We start from the raw sequence: 15,100 nt of genomic DNA, 5'->3' as shown, positions 1-15,100 counted from the left end.
TAAATAAAAACTTATATAATCCAGCAATCCCGTGCCTAGGTATTTACCTAAGAGAAATGAAAACTTTTTTTTTTTTTTGAGATGGAGTCTCGCTTTGTCACCCAGGCTGGAGTGCAGTGGTGCGATCTCGGCTCACTGCAAGCTCTGCCTCCCGGGTTCAAGCCATTCTCCTGCCTCAGCCTCCCGAGTAGCTGGGACCACAGGCACCCGCCACCACACCCGGCTAATTTTTTGTATTTTTAGTAGAGACGGGGTTTCATTGTGTTAGCCAGGATGGTCTCGATGTCCTGACCTCGTGATCTGCCCACCTTGGCCTCCCAAAGTGCTGGGATTACAGGCATAAGCCACCGGACCCGGCCATGAAAACTTTTTTTTACACAAAAACCTTTATGTGAGCATTTTAGCATCTTTATTTATAATTAATAATTGCTAAAAACTGAAAACAATTCGAATATCCTTTAACTGGTGAATAGACAAACTATAGCTACACAATGGAATACTACTTAGCAATAAAAAGGAACAATCTGCCAATACACGCAGCAACATGCATGATCCTCATATGCATTAAGCTCCTTGAACTAGGTCAGACTCGAAAGACTAGACTACTTGATTTTATTTATATGACTCCATTCCAGACATGGCAAAACTAGGAGGACAGAGAACATCTCAGTAGTTTATAGGGGCTGGGGAGGGAGAAGTGGTTGACTATATATGGGCATGATGCCAACTTGGATATATTCTGTATACTGATTATGGTAGTGTTTACATCACTATATGCATTTATCAAAAATCATAGTGTACACATAAGGTGTGAATTTATATTGTATGTAAACTATAAAATTATTCCTCAATAAACCTCACTTTAAAAAAGATTGAAGGTAAAATAAAGATATTTTCAGATAAAAGAAAACTAAGAAAATCCATTGCTGGTAAATCTACACTACAAGCCATGCTAAAAGAAATTCTTTAGAATGAAGGTAAATGAAAGCAGATGTAAATTCAGATTTACAGGATGGAGTGAAGAGCCTCGGAAACAGTACATATGCGGGTAAATGTAAAACTCTATTTTTTCCTCTGTATTTCTTTAAAATACATAATAGTTTCAAGGAAATAAAAATAATGTGAGATTTACAATGTGTGTAGATGCAGTGTGTATGACAACATTAAGAGCGGGCCAAGAGCTTTGAAAGGACCCATGCAGTTCCAATGTTTCTACATTTCCCACAAATTATTAAAATGTTAACTTTAAGTAATCTGTAGAAAGGATGAGTACTGTAATCCCTAGAGTGACCATTAAAAAATAAGGGCTGGGCGCGGTGGCTTATGCCTGTAATCCCAGCACTTTGGGAGGCCGAGGCGGGTGGATCACGAGGTCAGGAGATCGAGACCATCCTGGCTAACACGGTGAAACCCCATCTCTACTAAAAATACAAAAAATTAGCCGGGCGTGGTGGCGGTGCCTGTAGTCCCAGCTATTCGGGAGGCTGAGGCAGGAGAATGGCGTGAACCTGGGAGGCGGAACTTGCAGTGAGCTGAGATCGCGCCATTGCACTCCAGCCTGGGAGACACAGCGAGACTCCATCTCAAAAAAAAAAAAAAAAAGACAACAAGATATAGATAAAAAGCCAACGTTTATATTGGTTTTTTGAAGGATCTGGTTTTGAAGGATGAAAAGATATTTACCAGGTATAAAAGAGAAAGTTATTTCAGGCAAAGGAAATAGTATATACTAAATTCCACTTGGCTTACTTTTCCATTCTTAGGACTTCCATAGTTCATATTGACATCATGAACCTCACAATTTTAGTACTTATGGTTTAAATATTATTATGTCTCAGACTACAAACTTCTTGAGGCCAGTTTCTATACAGTTCTTTTGAATCTTCAACCCTTAGCATAGTGCTGAGCATTGGGCACATAGTAACAACGATGAAGATATTGACAGATGAATCTAATACTCTACCAACATTTATGAGTTTCTTAGTTTTTACACGTGAAGGAAGGAAGGAAGCTAATATTTGTTAGCCACTGACTACATGACAGGCTCTATGTTAAAGCTTTACATGTATTCCTTCATTCAGAGACATTAATCAGACAGCGGGATGTTTTTGGAAGATGAAGGTATTAAGAAAAAGGAAATTAACATAGATTTTAATATAACGAATAAGGAATAATTGAAGAGGATGCCTCGAATGGGATCTGATCACTCACTAGGTCCTGAGGGGGAAGGAGAGAGAGAAGATATTTTGTCCCCGAAGCCTCTTTTTTGTGAGTTCCCAGGGGGTATACCATGCCACTGGGCAGTAATGATACCCATACTTTATTGATTGCATTGTGATGACACTCATCAGGAACCTCTTCTTAAAAGAGGCAGTATGTGGATAGTGGAGACAGCAGGATCTTTTGAGTCCAGTGAAACTTCCCCACCCTGGTTCTGCATGTTACTAAGCATGTGACATTAGGCAAGTTTCTTAAGCTCTTGAAGTTTTAAATTTTCTTAGCTATAAAATGGATACAATAACAGCTACCTCATAAGATTACATAAGATATTAGATACAAATTTCCCAGCATACAAAAACGCTCAATAAGCCTCCCTCTCCTGTTCTGCTTTCTCCCTATGTACAACCTATTGGAACTGAAAAATTTGGAAGTACTAGGCATGACCAATAAATAAAAAGTGCTTTTCTTTGGCAACATTCTATATTACAGAAATTTTGTTTTCTCAAATGTCAAGTCCTGTTGATATCGTAGTGTTAGTTATTCAACATATTCTTGGAAGACTAACATTGTTTATAGATGCTTCAGTCTGCAAACCTAAAAATATCCAGATAGAGGGCCAGGCACGGTGGCTCACACCTGTAATCCCAGCACTTTGGGAGGCCAAGGCGGGCGGATAGAAAGGTTAGGAGATCGAGACCATCCTGGCTAACACGGTGAAACTCTGTCTCTACAAAAAAAATACAAAAAAATTAGCCACGCGTGGTGGCGGGCTCCTGTAATCCCAGGTGCTTGGGAGGCTGAAGCAGGAGAATGGCATGAACCTGGGAGGCGGAGCTTGCAGTGAGCCAAGATCGCGCCACTGCACTCCAGCCTGGGCGAAAGAGCCAGACTCCGTCAAACAACGACAACAACAACAACAACAACAACAACAACAGATAAATTGTCATTCCTTAATCATGAAGGATATCAACATGAATCCTGAAATTCAGAGCTCCCTGGTTTCAATTCTTTTGCTTAAGTCACTAAATCCCTTTTTCCTCTGAATGCCAAAAAAGAGGTGTTTGTATAGAAAGAAATTAATATTCTCTTTCTCAGTTTCAGCAAGAAGCACATTTATTATATGTTCAACAAAGTTGTATTCACTTTTCCAACTTAAAAATATTTAAGGGGTTTCATTATATTTTGAGAAATTATTCATCAATCCAGGATTTAGCAGCCACCAAAAAGAACTCCACAATTAATCTTTCATAACATAGGTGTGACTTATAATCTCTACAATAAAAAATTGTTAAATGTAAGGAAAAACTGTTCATAAACTATAATATTTCTTGGCAAAGAAAAACTGCTTTGTGTTTTTAAAGATACGGTTGAGAATTTAAATGAAAGCTACATGCTTGAAATTAGTGCCAGATGCAACACAATTCAAGCACAATTCACTAGCTGCATCAGATATTTCACTATGATTTAGTAAAAGGTATCCAACAATTCTACATTTCATAGAAATCTCACAAATACAAGTATTTCATTCACAAAACTCATGGCTTGGCAGGCTTCCAGGGCAGGAATTTGCTGGAAGAAAGGTAAATTTATTGATTAACATAAATCAAAGGACTGACATTTTCCCTAGAAAATTGACAAAACAATAATATTCAGAAACTGAAGTTCTTACAACCAGAGCGAGAAGAAAAGTCTGAGCTATTATTTACATTTATTATAGGCATCCAGTAATGTGATAAACAATTAGGTAATTAAGAATTCTCAAATCAGTATTGAGAAACTTAATTTTAAAATGTTAGATATTTTTGAAGCAAGATTTTCCAAAAACCTTTGCTATGAAATCTGGTGTTTGTAAATCTTTGTAGTAGTTATAATTATATGCCACCTCTATCCCTTGCATTTATTAATATATGCACTAAATAATGAGCATTCTTTGATGGGATCCATATAGAAACAATCGAGATTTTTTTTTTTTTCTGAGATGGAATTTCACTCCTGTCACCCAGGCTGGAGTGCAGTGGCGCAATCTCAGCTCACTGCAACCTCTGCCTCCCGGGTTCAAGTGATTCTCGTGCCTCAGCCTCCCGAGTAGCTGGGATTACAGGCACATGCCACCATGCCCGGCTAATTTTTGTATTTTTAGTAGGGGGGAGCGGGTTTCAGCATGTTGGTCAGGCTGGTCTCGAACTCTTGACCTCAAGTGATCCACCTGCCTCGGCCTCCCAAAGTGCTGGGATTACAGGCGTGATCCACCATGCCCAGCCCCAGATCATTCTTAAACATACAAACATTAATTCCTTCCTACCCCATGCCTCAGTTCTTCCCCCTCTGCTATCTCTTTCCCCATTCTGGTAACATTTCCACCATCAGCAATTGTTATGAGCTGAATGTTTGTGCACCCCTAAAATTCCTATCTTAAAGCCATAACCCACAGTGTGGCTGTGTTTGGAGATGTGGCCTCTAAGGCAGTAATTAAGGTTAAATAAGGTCAGAAGGGTAGAACCCTGATCCAACAGGATTAGTGTCCTTTTAAGTACAGAGAAGAGACACTGGAGAGCTCCCCAAACTGTGCATATAAAGAAAAGGTGATGGGAGCACGACAGGGCAAGGGTGGCTGCCTACCACGCAAGAGAAGAGGCCTCAAAAAAAAAAAAAAAAAAAACCTACTTTGCTGGCATCTTGATCTTGGACTTCCCAGCATCTAGAACTGTGAGAAATAAATTCCTGTTGCCTAAGCTACCTTGTCTGTAGTATTTTGCTATCCCCAGATGAAGAGCAATTAAGAAGCCTAATGCAGTTACAACAGCACTCTCAGGCACACCTTCTTGTTACCTGTTTAACTTTTTAAAGATTTGGATTCAAGGAAAATCCTACTGAGAAGCTGAACAGATTTGGCCAAAATAGTTTTACACAGATCCTTAACTCATTCAGCCTTGCTTCTACTCTAGAATCAGAGAATGTGAACAGGAAGAGGGACCTCGGCGATCCAAACTTGCTGATTCAGGTTTTACTATGATTCTGGGGTTATAGAAAACTGCTCTCTAAACTTGGCGCATCTTCTGGAAGATGTTGGAGGTGAGGTGGTTTAGTGGATAGTTAATAGGCTTAACCATCTGTTGATGTGAAATTGAGATATATTACTGAGTGCAATGCAAAATTTTATACACATTTAGCTTGCTTTGAAGAAAGACATTATTGGTAATGTTAACAGCAAAAAACAGCTGAGATTGAAAATTAGCGTGGGCTAGGTAACATGTTAAAGTCTTTATGTGTACAGTAGCCTCCCTTATCCGCAGGGAATACCTTCCAAGACTCCCCGGTAGATGCCTGAATCCTGGAATAATGGCGAACCCCACATATAGTTTTTCAATCTGATAACCAAGATGGCTACTAAGTGACTAAGAACCTGGTAGCCTAACAGCATGCATGGACAAAGCGATGATTCACACTGCAGATTTCATCAGGATATCCAGAATGGGCTTGCAATGAAACATTTGAATTGCTTATTTCTGGAATTTTTTACTTAATGTGTTTGGACCTTGGTTGACCCCAGGTAACTGAAATCAGGCTAAGAGAAGCCACAGATGAGGGAAGCCTACTGTATTTTCTTTTCTTTTCTTTTTTTGAAATAGGGTCTGGTTCTGTTGCCCAGGCTTTTCTTATATAATCATCACAAAATTAGCAAATAGGTACACTTAATGTTATTCTTATTATAAAACAGTATTTCGGAAAATGCAAATATTTCTAAAATAGCCCTATTCCCATCCCTATCCATAGGGTATTTTATCCTCTTCGCAGTGCTTTTCTCTCTCTTTTTTTTCCCCTTATTTTCTATGTTCCCCAAGCACCCCCTTCTGGGCATAACACAGTGCCTGCCACAAATAAGAAAAAAAGAAGTTCGGTAAACTTTTGGTCCAGTCAGTGAAGCACCTTGGACCCCATCACCAGACGGTAGGCGCCAAGAGAGCAAGAGTCAGCATGTTTTCTGCTAACCAGAGATTAGCACGATGCCTGGTACAAAGTAGGCGCCCAATAAATAGGTGAAGAAAGAAAAAAAATTAAAAAAAAGGAAGAGAGTGAGGGGAAAGGATGAATGAATGAAGACGTTTGCAGAGGGGCCTAGAAAGAAAGCACTCTGCAAGATTCTCCCTCCTGGTGGCATCAACTCTCAGTTCAAGGTCTATGTCAGCCCTTTCCTTGCCCAGACGCATTGGCCTACAGCAGGGAATGAAGAAAGAACAAAGTCTTTAAAAATGTTCAGAAGAAAGAGAAAACGGCAAGATAAAAGAGAGAAAAAAAAGAAAGAAAGGAACCACCTCCTTCGGGCGGACTAAAAAGGGAAGCCCCAGGAGGCCGGTTGCTAAGGCGACCCTAGGGCCAGAACGGCCCCAGCCCATTGGTTGAGACGCAGGAGCCAATGAGAAGGCGCGATGTTGACGGGGTCCTAAGATGGCTGCTGGGCGACCACTTCCTGACAGGTGAGTACGGCTTATGGAGGGTTGGTTACCCGCCGGTTCGGGCTCCGGCATGATGAGTCTGGGAGGGCCTCTTGTGGGCAGCCGAGGGAGGCGGCATGGGCGGCCTCATAGCTCCTCGGCCGAGCCTCCCGGAGCAGGCTAGAAAAGCCCCCGGCCCGGGGCCGCGGAAGCGACGGCGGGGCCGCCCTCAGCCTTCCTCGAAAGGGGCGTCGCAGCGGCCTCCCCAGCCTGTTATGTGGAGGGGGTTCTCCGTCCCACCCAGGTCAAAGTGAGAGGGGATTGAGGAGGCTGTCGATAGGGAAAACAGGCTCACGTTTACAGTTGCTGTATTCCGGAAAACAGCTCCAGTTAATGGGACTGCCAGCAGGCTAGACATCCTTCGCCGGAATGTGCAGCGCTTAGTTCTGTGCCCGGGAGGGGCTTCTCTCTCTTTTGGGATTGGAGTGTGGCATTGCCGCCAGAAAGCCTGCAGAATTCCGGGTTGTGCAGCCAAGCAGGAACGGTGTACCTTTCTAGACCCATCCTCTTGCAATCTTGGACCCTGTAAGTATTCTCACAGCGGAATCGACTTAAAATGAGCCTTGAACTGTTAACTTGGTTTATTGTCTTTCCATGCAGGATCTTGGGTCTGGGAAAATGTTTTCCAGGCCTCAAGTAAACGAACACTCTCTTTAATTAAAACAGTTGAATACATGCAAAATCTTGCTAAATAAGTAGTTTTTCTGGATTCGCTCTCAGGCCTGTAATTCAGTTGTCCTTTCTGTACCTTTTTTGAGAAAAGGAACACATTCATTTCATAAAAGTAAATAGGATATTTACGTTAATGTTGATGTTAACATGCTTGAAAATAGTAACTATTTTTAAGTCACAGACTCTGATTATGATGTAAATTACAATCTTCAGATTGTTAAATAATTGTGGCTTATAATTAGTATACAAGTGAAATTAATTTTAGATCAGACGAAGTTCAGGCTTCTGGAATTATTTCTAATCAAATACAAAATATAGGAAATAAGACAGCCTTATACGATGAAAATGGAATTTAAATTCTGGAATAGAGATGGAAAACATTTACCCATCGAGCTGCTCAAATATATCTTTTGGGTTTTGATTATAAGCAGCTGTCTGGTTGTCCAGAAAATATGACATTATTACTCAAACCTCTGACTGTGACTTTGACTTTGATGTATGCAACTTAGTATAGCATCTTGCATAGCTTTCTGTACTCAAAAAGTACAGAAAAAAATTCTTAACCAAATTTAACAAGTCTGTAATTATAGGCTAAGATCATTCTCAGCCCCAGTCGCAAATCCTTGTCCCCGCTTACAACTCTGCTCTGTAAAATTCATAATCTAAAGCCATGGGGCTATTTTTGTAAAACAAATGGATCAGAATGCATTAGGCAAGTCAGTTATCCCATCTGTAAATTGGGGGCGGGGCGGGTAGGGGAGGGGCTGATATAGATAGTAATTCCTAGTGGAAGGGTTGTTGTGAAGATTAGTGGAAAACCAAGGCCTGCCACACTGTTTGTATGCCATGTGCAGCAGTGACTTGCTTTGTTTCCCCTTTCTGGTTCTAGTGTTTCCTGTTGTAACTAGGGTTCCTTCCCCTTCTCAGTGTCCTGAAGTGTACAGAGTTTCTCTGAAAACATCCTCTTGGCTGAGTTGCTAGGTAGAGGAGAGAAACCTTATCTACTGGATACTGGGCTCTAATCAGGATTGCAGTGCTAGAGAGAATGGAGTGATACATCCAGGAGTGAGGTGACTCTGGGCATTTAGGGCACTTATAATATCAAAATCATAAAGAGGCATTTTAGAGCTGTAAGACATCTCAGAGATCATTTGATCAAACCTTTATTTTATAGCTTAAGAATGGAGGCCCAGACAAATGCAGTGGCTTTCTCCTAATTATGTTGCTCAGGACTAGAAACCATTTTCCAACTTTGAAGACTTTTTCCCCCTGTAACCAGTGCACAATCTAGAACGGTTTTTATTATAATTTGATTTCTCCCTGGCTGCTTTATTTTGAAAGATTGTGTCTACTCAACCTTATTTATGAATGTTTTTTTCTGATAAAAATCAGACCTATAACTACCAGTGAACCTCTGATTAACATGTGAAAAATAGTGCTTCACTAAATTGGTCTTTTCCTGTAATGATGAATGGTACAGTCTTACTGAGGGGAAAAATAAAATAGTTTGGGCTTTTTGAAATTAGCTTAGAGACTCCTGTTACTATATTCATACTTAGATTAGGAACCACTGAACTGTACCCTGTTTTTGATTCATTGTTATCTGACCAAGTATGCTAAATAATAACGATGGGTGGTTTTCAAGGGCAAACAAACAAACAAACAAGAAACCCTAGTTATTCAGACTAGGACAGTATATAAATATTTTCAGTTCATGGCAAATTGTGTTAGCCCAGGACTAAAGATGTGTTCTGCATAGTACACACAGAATGTCTTGAGGATAATTGTGGGATGGAATAAATCTTAACTCTAGAGGTGGAGGGTGTGTAAAATGAAGAAAGTGATATTCAAAACCATAGAGAGAAAAAGGATTCTGAGTCATTTACATTTTCCTTGGGGCTAAAATGATTAAATTGAAAATTATTTGGGTTGCAGGGTAAAAAAAATGAAAGCTTATGAATTAATACATTGGCTGTTATATGGACTTGGCTATAATCTATGCTAAACAAATTTAAGTTTCTGTTTCTCTGATATTCCACGTTTCTGGAGACAGGCTGAGTGAATTTTCACAGTTAAAGGGTAACTTGGGATTATCTGCCTTAAAATAAAGAAATACGCTCTGAAAGGCATAAGTAAGAGACACTTATAGAGAATCATTCTCCACAGCAGCCAAAACAAGAATAACAGGAGGCCTAACATGGTGCCAGTTGGAAACTTTGTGAATGACAAGTATATGCTATGAATAGAAAGACTGTTTTGAAACATGAGTCCAAAGCAAAAGTCACTAAGCAGCCACTCCATATTGGCTGATCTGTAACTGGGCTGCTGCTTACACGGGCAACTCCATTTTGCAGGCTGCACAGTAAGTGGCAGCAGTTATCCGTGTTTATCAGTGACTGCTCAGTCTCCCTTGTATTTGTTTTTTTGAGAGTCACAGGAAAATGGCACATGACTAAAGGTTCTAAAGAGTGGAATTCAAAACCTACCTGATTTGAATTTTGCCTGGATTTAGAGGTGGATTCCACCTTTTTCAAACTATTTTAATTTTTTTTCCTTTGGGTACACTCAAGAAATTATCATACCAGGCAGATGCCACACTGAGGACAGTTTTTAATGCCACATGAGCAGGAGCTAAAAATATATAATTTTGAGAAAATTTAAAAAGCCATAAAAAATGCCTAACTACTTGAAGGCTGATTAGCAACAACAACAGCAAAAAGCATGCCTTCTTCGGGGCAACTGAGACTGCTTCCCAGAGGGAAGCATGTTTGGGTGCCCAGAGCATAGACTATCACCCTGCAGAGATGCTAAAACAGTGGTTTAGTAGGAGACCTGTGCCACTGCCCATTGGAGAGGCATACACGTTTCATGAGCAGTCACATCTAAAGTCCAGGTCAAGGAATACTTGGCTCAAAAACTGAGCAGAAACTTGCTATGTGTATAGCTGTCATTTCGTGAGGCTAGGGATTTTTGCCTGTTTTATATACTTCTGTCCCCAGGGTCTTGAAGAGTGTCTGGCACATAAGTGGGCATGTAAAATATTTTATGGACAGGAAGGGAAAGAGTTATTTCTAACATAGACTCCAGTGATGCTAAGAAATCCAAACCTGAAATTTGTTACTGTTTTAAGTCCTTAAATGATAATGAGCCTAAAGGTATATTATATGGCGGTGGCCAAGTCATACTGGAACTTATTACTGCTTCCTTCCCCTTGCTCTCAGAACAGGAGAAATCTTTTTTATTAATAGCATGACACCTGTTTTTCAATATTGGCATATTTTACATGATGTCTTTTGTGCTATTGGAGTATTTCAAGAGTACTGCTGTCCCAACTTTAAAAATCCACAGACAGGTTTAGGGATAGATCTGGGTTTTATGGGGCCTGGAGCTTATATAACTTCGGGTTTCTTCCTTTAAACAAAGAAATGTAAATTCTGAATAGAAAACTAGGTACAGTGCTTTGGAAGGACCTGTGCAGATGAGGAATCTTGGAGCTTAAGGTTACCATTATCTTCCTAGTAATTTGCCCTCATTTTATTCCTCCATTCAGAAAACCAAACACTAACATTTGTTATAGACACTTCACATCAGATTGTGACTATCAAGGAAGCAAATGATTGCATCAGTTGCTAAGTGAGTGCACCACAATTATTAGAAACTTCAAAACTATCTTATGAACCCTGTCACTCATAATAGAAATGATAAAAATGTAATACATGGCCACAGAAATAATAATAGCAAAGAGAACTTAACATTTATTGAGCCCCTAGGACCTCCTAAACACTGTGTTGAGGGGCTTATCTCATTTAATCCTCAGAATAGCCCTATAAGCAGTATAATTATCCCTGCATTACAGATAAAGAAATTGAGGGTCAGAGATGTCAAATGATTTCCTCATACTACTAGTAGTGTCAGAGTTAAGATTCTAGTTGGAGCAGTTAGATGCCAGAGTCCTTCCTCATAAAAAGCCAACAGAATATTTGGTGAGGATATTTCAGAGAGCCAGCAACTGATGAGGCTGGACCAAAGCCACAAAAAGTAAGATCTGATTCTTTGGACCTGGAAGGAGGTCTTTAAAAGATAAGAGAAATCTGTTATCACAAAATCCCTGATGTGTTTGTCTCAGAGAGAATGGTGGTTTCTTTTGTTTGTTTGTTTGTTTTTTAACTAGGTTAATCACAATATGGGACAGAAAACTGCAAAACAAATTTCCGTCCTTCCATTTTATTCCTTCATATTGATAGTAAATCATGAGCAGTACAACCGGCTTCTCTATTTTAAGCATCTTTTGAAGGAACTGGTTTTGGCTCAATATATGTGCTAAAATAGACTGTGCCATGAAGATCAATAGTGAGTATGTACTTGAGTATTATACTTTTAGCAAATGATAACAATTCTGCTATTTTAAGTCATTTTATTAAACTTAATGGTTCTCTCTACTAATGGACTGTATAGCTAATGCTAAATATTATCTTGAACTTGACCATTAGTTTCCCAAATATAGTATTGTTACTTTAAAAAGCTGTACATTTTTGTTAAATTGTTAGGATTATATTTCATTTAATATTATTTTAGCAAACAGTATTAAACTAAAAAGTAGGATATCCTTTTTACTACGATACCTTCCTCCAACTACTTATGTAGCTTAAAAATTTTCCTTTAGTTATTTTCCTGCTCCTTAGACAAGACGCCCTCTGAAAGCTTTGTCCATTAAATATAGGTGAAACATGCAGTTTTATTCTCTAATTGGTATAGCTTCAAATATGGTATTTTAATCCTAAATTGCTTGCAAAGTATGTTGTTAGGTTTTTAACATTCTTGAGCAATGCTTTACTGAATTTCATGTTTTTTTTAGACAAAACTACTCATATATTAGAGAATCAAGGCTCTATTTTCTTTACCTGTAGGTGTATGTTGTAACAAACTTGTTTAAACAGCTTTTAAACTTCTAAACTTTTTTTTTACTTACACAAGTGAAGATTTTAATTATTTTATAACAGGTTCATTCTATGCCATTTTAGATTAAAAAAAAAAAGTTTAGATGGACTGTTCCCAAACCATTGTTATAATTATTAGGCACCTGGAATGTCTTCTAATGGTCTTAAAATTATTTCTATGGTTATTCTACATGTGTAAATTAATCTTTTTCCTCATAGAAGAAAAGATGTGGAGTGGGCTGCTACCTCCTGGCCTAAATGAAAGTGACGCTGAGTCAAACTCGGAAGATGAAGCTACGTTGGAGAACTCTGGACTTAACTTACAGGAAGATAAAGAGGATGAGAGCATCAGAAAAACAGAAATCATAGATTTCTCAACAGATGAACCAAAAACTGAAACAGAGTCAAATGTAAATGCCTATGAAGAGTGTCCTTCTGGAATTCCCATAGATATGTGGAATGTAGGTTTTCTCTGAAATGCTCTTGCTACAGCCTGTGTGTGTGCACATGCCTCTGTGTGTCTCTGCCCTGGTCAGAATGTGCATGTATTCTTGGGACTTAACAGGGAGGGAGATGGACTCAGAATGCTTTTACTGTTCTCTGAGGCATCGGCCACTTAGATACTTGCGTTTATTTTGTTTTGTTTTTCATAGAAAGACGGAGGGGGAAAAAAAAAAAACCCAAACCACTATGTAGTATTAGCTGTTTGCCTAGCGTGGTACATGAGTAGTTTCTGTCTTTATTTAACCTTTTATTTATCTTTTTTGTTACCTACATGAGCTTCACTCTCAAATTATCAAATGACTTATTTCAAAACAAGTGAATATCAAAACTCAGGTTGTGAGTCTCAGAGAATAGAGCATCTCAAGAACTGACTACCATCATTAAATTGGTATCTTTATACACGCTGAAATATAATTGTTTTATTACTTCATTATTTTTTAAATGCATGTTTTTCTGGAAAGTATATTTGCTTCTCAATTTTTTTTTCTTTTACATAGAAATTTCAAGAATTGCATAAAAAACATTCTGAACAGAAAAGCACAACCTCAAGATTCAGAGGGAAAAGAAGAAAACGCTCCAGAAAAGGTGTTTTGTTTTAACTCAGGTTGTTCGTCGTGCTAATGCTAAGTTGTGACTGAGTTTAACCATTTTTTTAAAATATGGTTTTGAAATTACTGAAGTTAGGTATTGACACTTTGTGAATTCTTTTCAGATAAATTGAAGAATGAAAAAGAATTACATAGGTAGGTAGAATTTAAAATAGTTATCTATTTTAGGCCATTGTAGAAATTGTTGAACTAATTGTTTCTGATAGTAATCAAACATATGAACTAGTAATTGTAGTATAATTGTAGTAACCGATTAAAAACAGTAAAAGTAAAGACAGTATATATTGTATAAAACAAAACTTACTATCTTCTTTTAGTGAACCGTCCTCAAATGAAACCCAGTGGAAAGAGCTTACTCAGTATTTTGGAGTCAATGATAGATTTGACCCGCCTGTTAAAAGGAAAAAAGTTGAGAAGGTAATATCTTTGTTATTGCATCTTATACCAGCTAGTAGGATATGTTTGTGATTAGCCTCGCCTAAAGTACTTGTCCTCATTAATTCATTCAGTTAAAAAGATGCCTACTGCATACCAAAAAGGGTGCTAGATAAGTAAATATATAGTTACAAATTATTAAAAAACTGTTAAGAGAAAGAACAGGTTGTTGTGAAAATATTAAAATGGGGGCTTCACTTTAGCATGGATGGTCAGGGAAAGCCTTTCATAGAAGGTGCCACGTCACTGAGACCTGAAGGATGGAAAAAACTGTCTATATAAAGAATGCTAGCGCAGAGGCATGGATAAAGATCCTAGGGAAGAGTCGTCCTGGGACATTCCAGTAACTGTAGGAAGGCCAGCCTGGCTGGAATGGGGTCAGCGAGGAGGAGGGTAGCCCACTATATGATTACAGAGGCAGGCAGTCAGTGACCAAATTGTGTAGGACCTCAAAAGGCTTAGTAAAGAAATGGGTTTTATTCACAATGCAGTTGAGAGTCATAAAGGCTTTTAAGTCAAGGGAATGACATGACCTATGTTAAAAAGATTCGTATGACTGTTACCTGGTGAACTGATTGTGAGGCAGCAAAAATAGATGAGAACAGAACAGTTAAGAGACTTCTAGGCATAAGATGATGATGAATTGAACCAGAATGGTTCTGCTGAAGAAGGAAAAAAGTGGATGGATTTGAGGCGTATTGTAGAAGTAAAATTGATGATACTTGCCTCTGGATTGCTTGCGAGGTGATAGGGAGGGTTTGGGGCGTATGGAAGGGGAGAGAATCATTCAAAGCTTTGGCTTAAGCAGTGGTGTGGATAGTGATGTTACGAAGAGAAATTTGGGGAAGGGAAAGGATTGAGAGTGGGACCTAGCCAAAGTTCAGTTTGGGACTTGAGTGTTATTGGAAAGCAGGAGCAGAGTTGTTGGTTAGTATAATGACCTTGAGATGCACATTTGTAGTTGTCAGTCTCTAGACATACTAATACTTAGAAGACGCTTGTGTGAATTAGTAACTCACTTATTCATACAGGGAAATGTTGGAGCATGAAAATCAAGTGCCGAGTGGTAGAGCTGGAGGCTCAGGGGGCTAGTTGAAGCCCAAGTATATTGTATCCTGTGTGTAATAGACAGATGCCTCTTTCATGGATCATTGCTGTAGACTATGTGTGTACCTAGAGACCTTTGTCATTTTCTGATCCATCTGTATTTCTTCTAAAGTATCTCTGATTT

General features: G+C 38.9%; 1 protein-coding gene across 5 annotated transcripts in view, besides 2 other annotated features; it reads left to right on the top strand.

Moving 5' to 3' along the window:
- Positions 6,337–6,836: an enhancer, noted in NCBI's record as "H3K27ac hESC enhancer chr10:120101641-120102140 (GRCh37/hg19 assembly coordinates)". NCBI's record gives its function as "activates a minimal SCP1, AML or CMV promoter by ChIP-STARR-seq in naive H9 embryonic stem cells {active_cell/tissue: H9 hESC(naive)}" and the evidence as "EXISTENCE:reporter gene assay evidence [ECO:0000049][PMID:30033119]".
- Positions 6,481–6,700: an enhancer, noted in NCBI's record as "active region_4102". NCBI's record gives its function as "activates an Ori minimal core promoter by ATAC-STARR-seq in GM12878 lymphoblastoid cells {active_cell/tissue: GM12878}" and the evidence as "EXISTENCE:reporter gene assay evidence [ECO:0000049][PMID:35858748]".
- Positions 6,641–15,100, top strand: part of FAM204A (family with sequence similarity 204 member A) — a 44,400-nt gene continuing 35,940 nt past the window's right edge. For 2 of the 5 annotated variants that reach the window (NM_001134672.2, XM_047425618.1), the window contains exons 1-5: positions 6,641–6,695; positions 12,542–12,783; positions 13,324–13,411; positions 13,539–13,569; positions 13,752–13,851. In NM_001134672.2, the coding sequence (NP_001128144.1) occupies positions 12,550–12,783; positions 13,324–13,411; positions 13,539–13,569; positions 13,752–13,851 (453 nt within the window). In that variant the 5' untranslated portion in view covers positions 6,641–6,695; positions 12,542–12,549. Of the gene's footprint in view, positions 6,696–7,037; positions 7,239–11,556; positions 11,740–12,541; positions 12,784–13,323; positions 13,412–13,538; positions 13,570–13,751; positions 13,852–15,100 lie in introns of all 5 variants that reach the window. The other 3 variants (XM_005270024.2, XM_047425619.1, NM_022063.3) reach the window with 3 other exon arrangements.

Source organism: Homo sapiens, chromosome 10, assembly GCF_000001405.40.
Source record: "Homo sapiens chromosome 10, GRCh38.p14 Primary Assembly".
NCBI lineage: Eukaryota > Metazoa > Chordata > Mammalia > Primates > Hominidae > Homo > Homo sapiens.
This window is presented reverse-complemented; position numbering and strand designations above follow the sequence as displayed.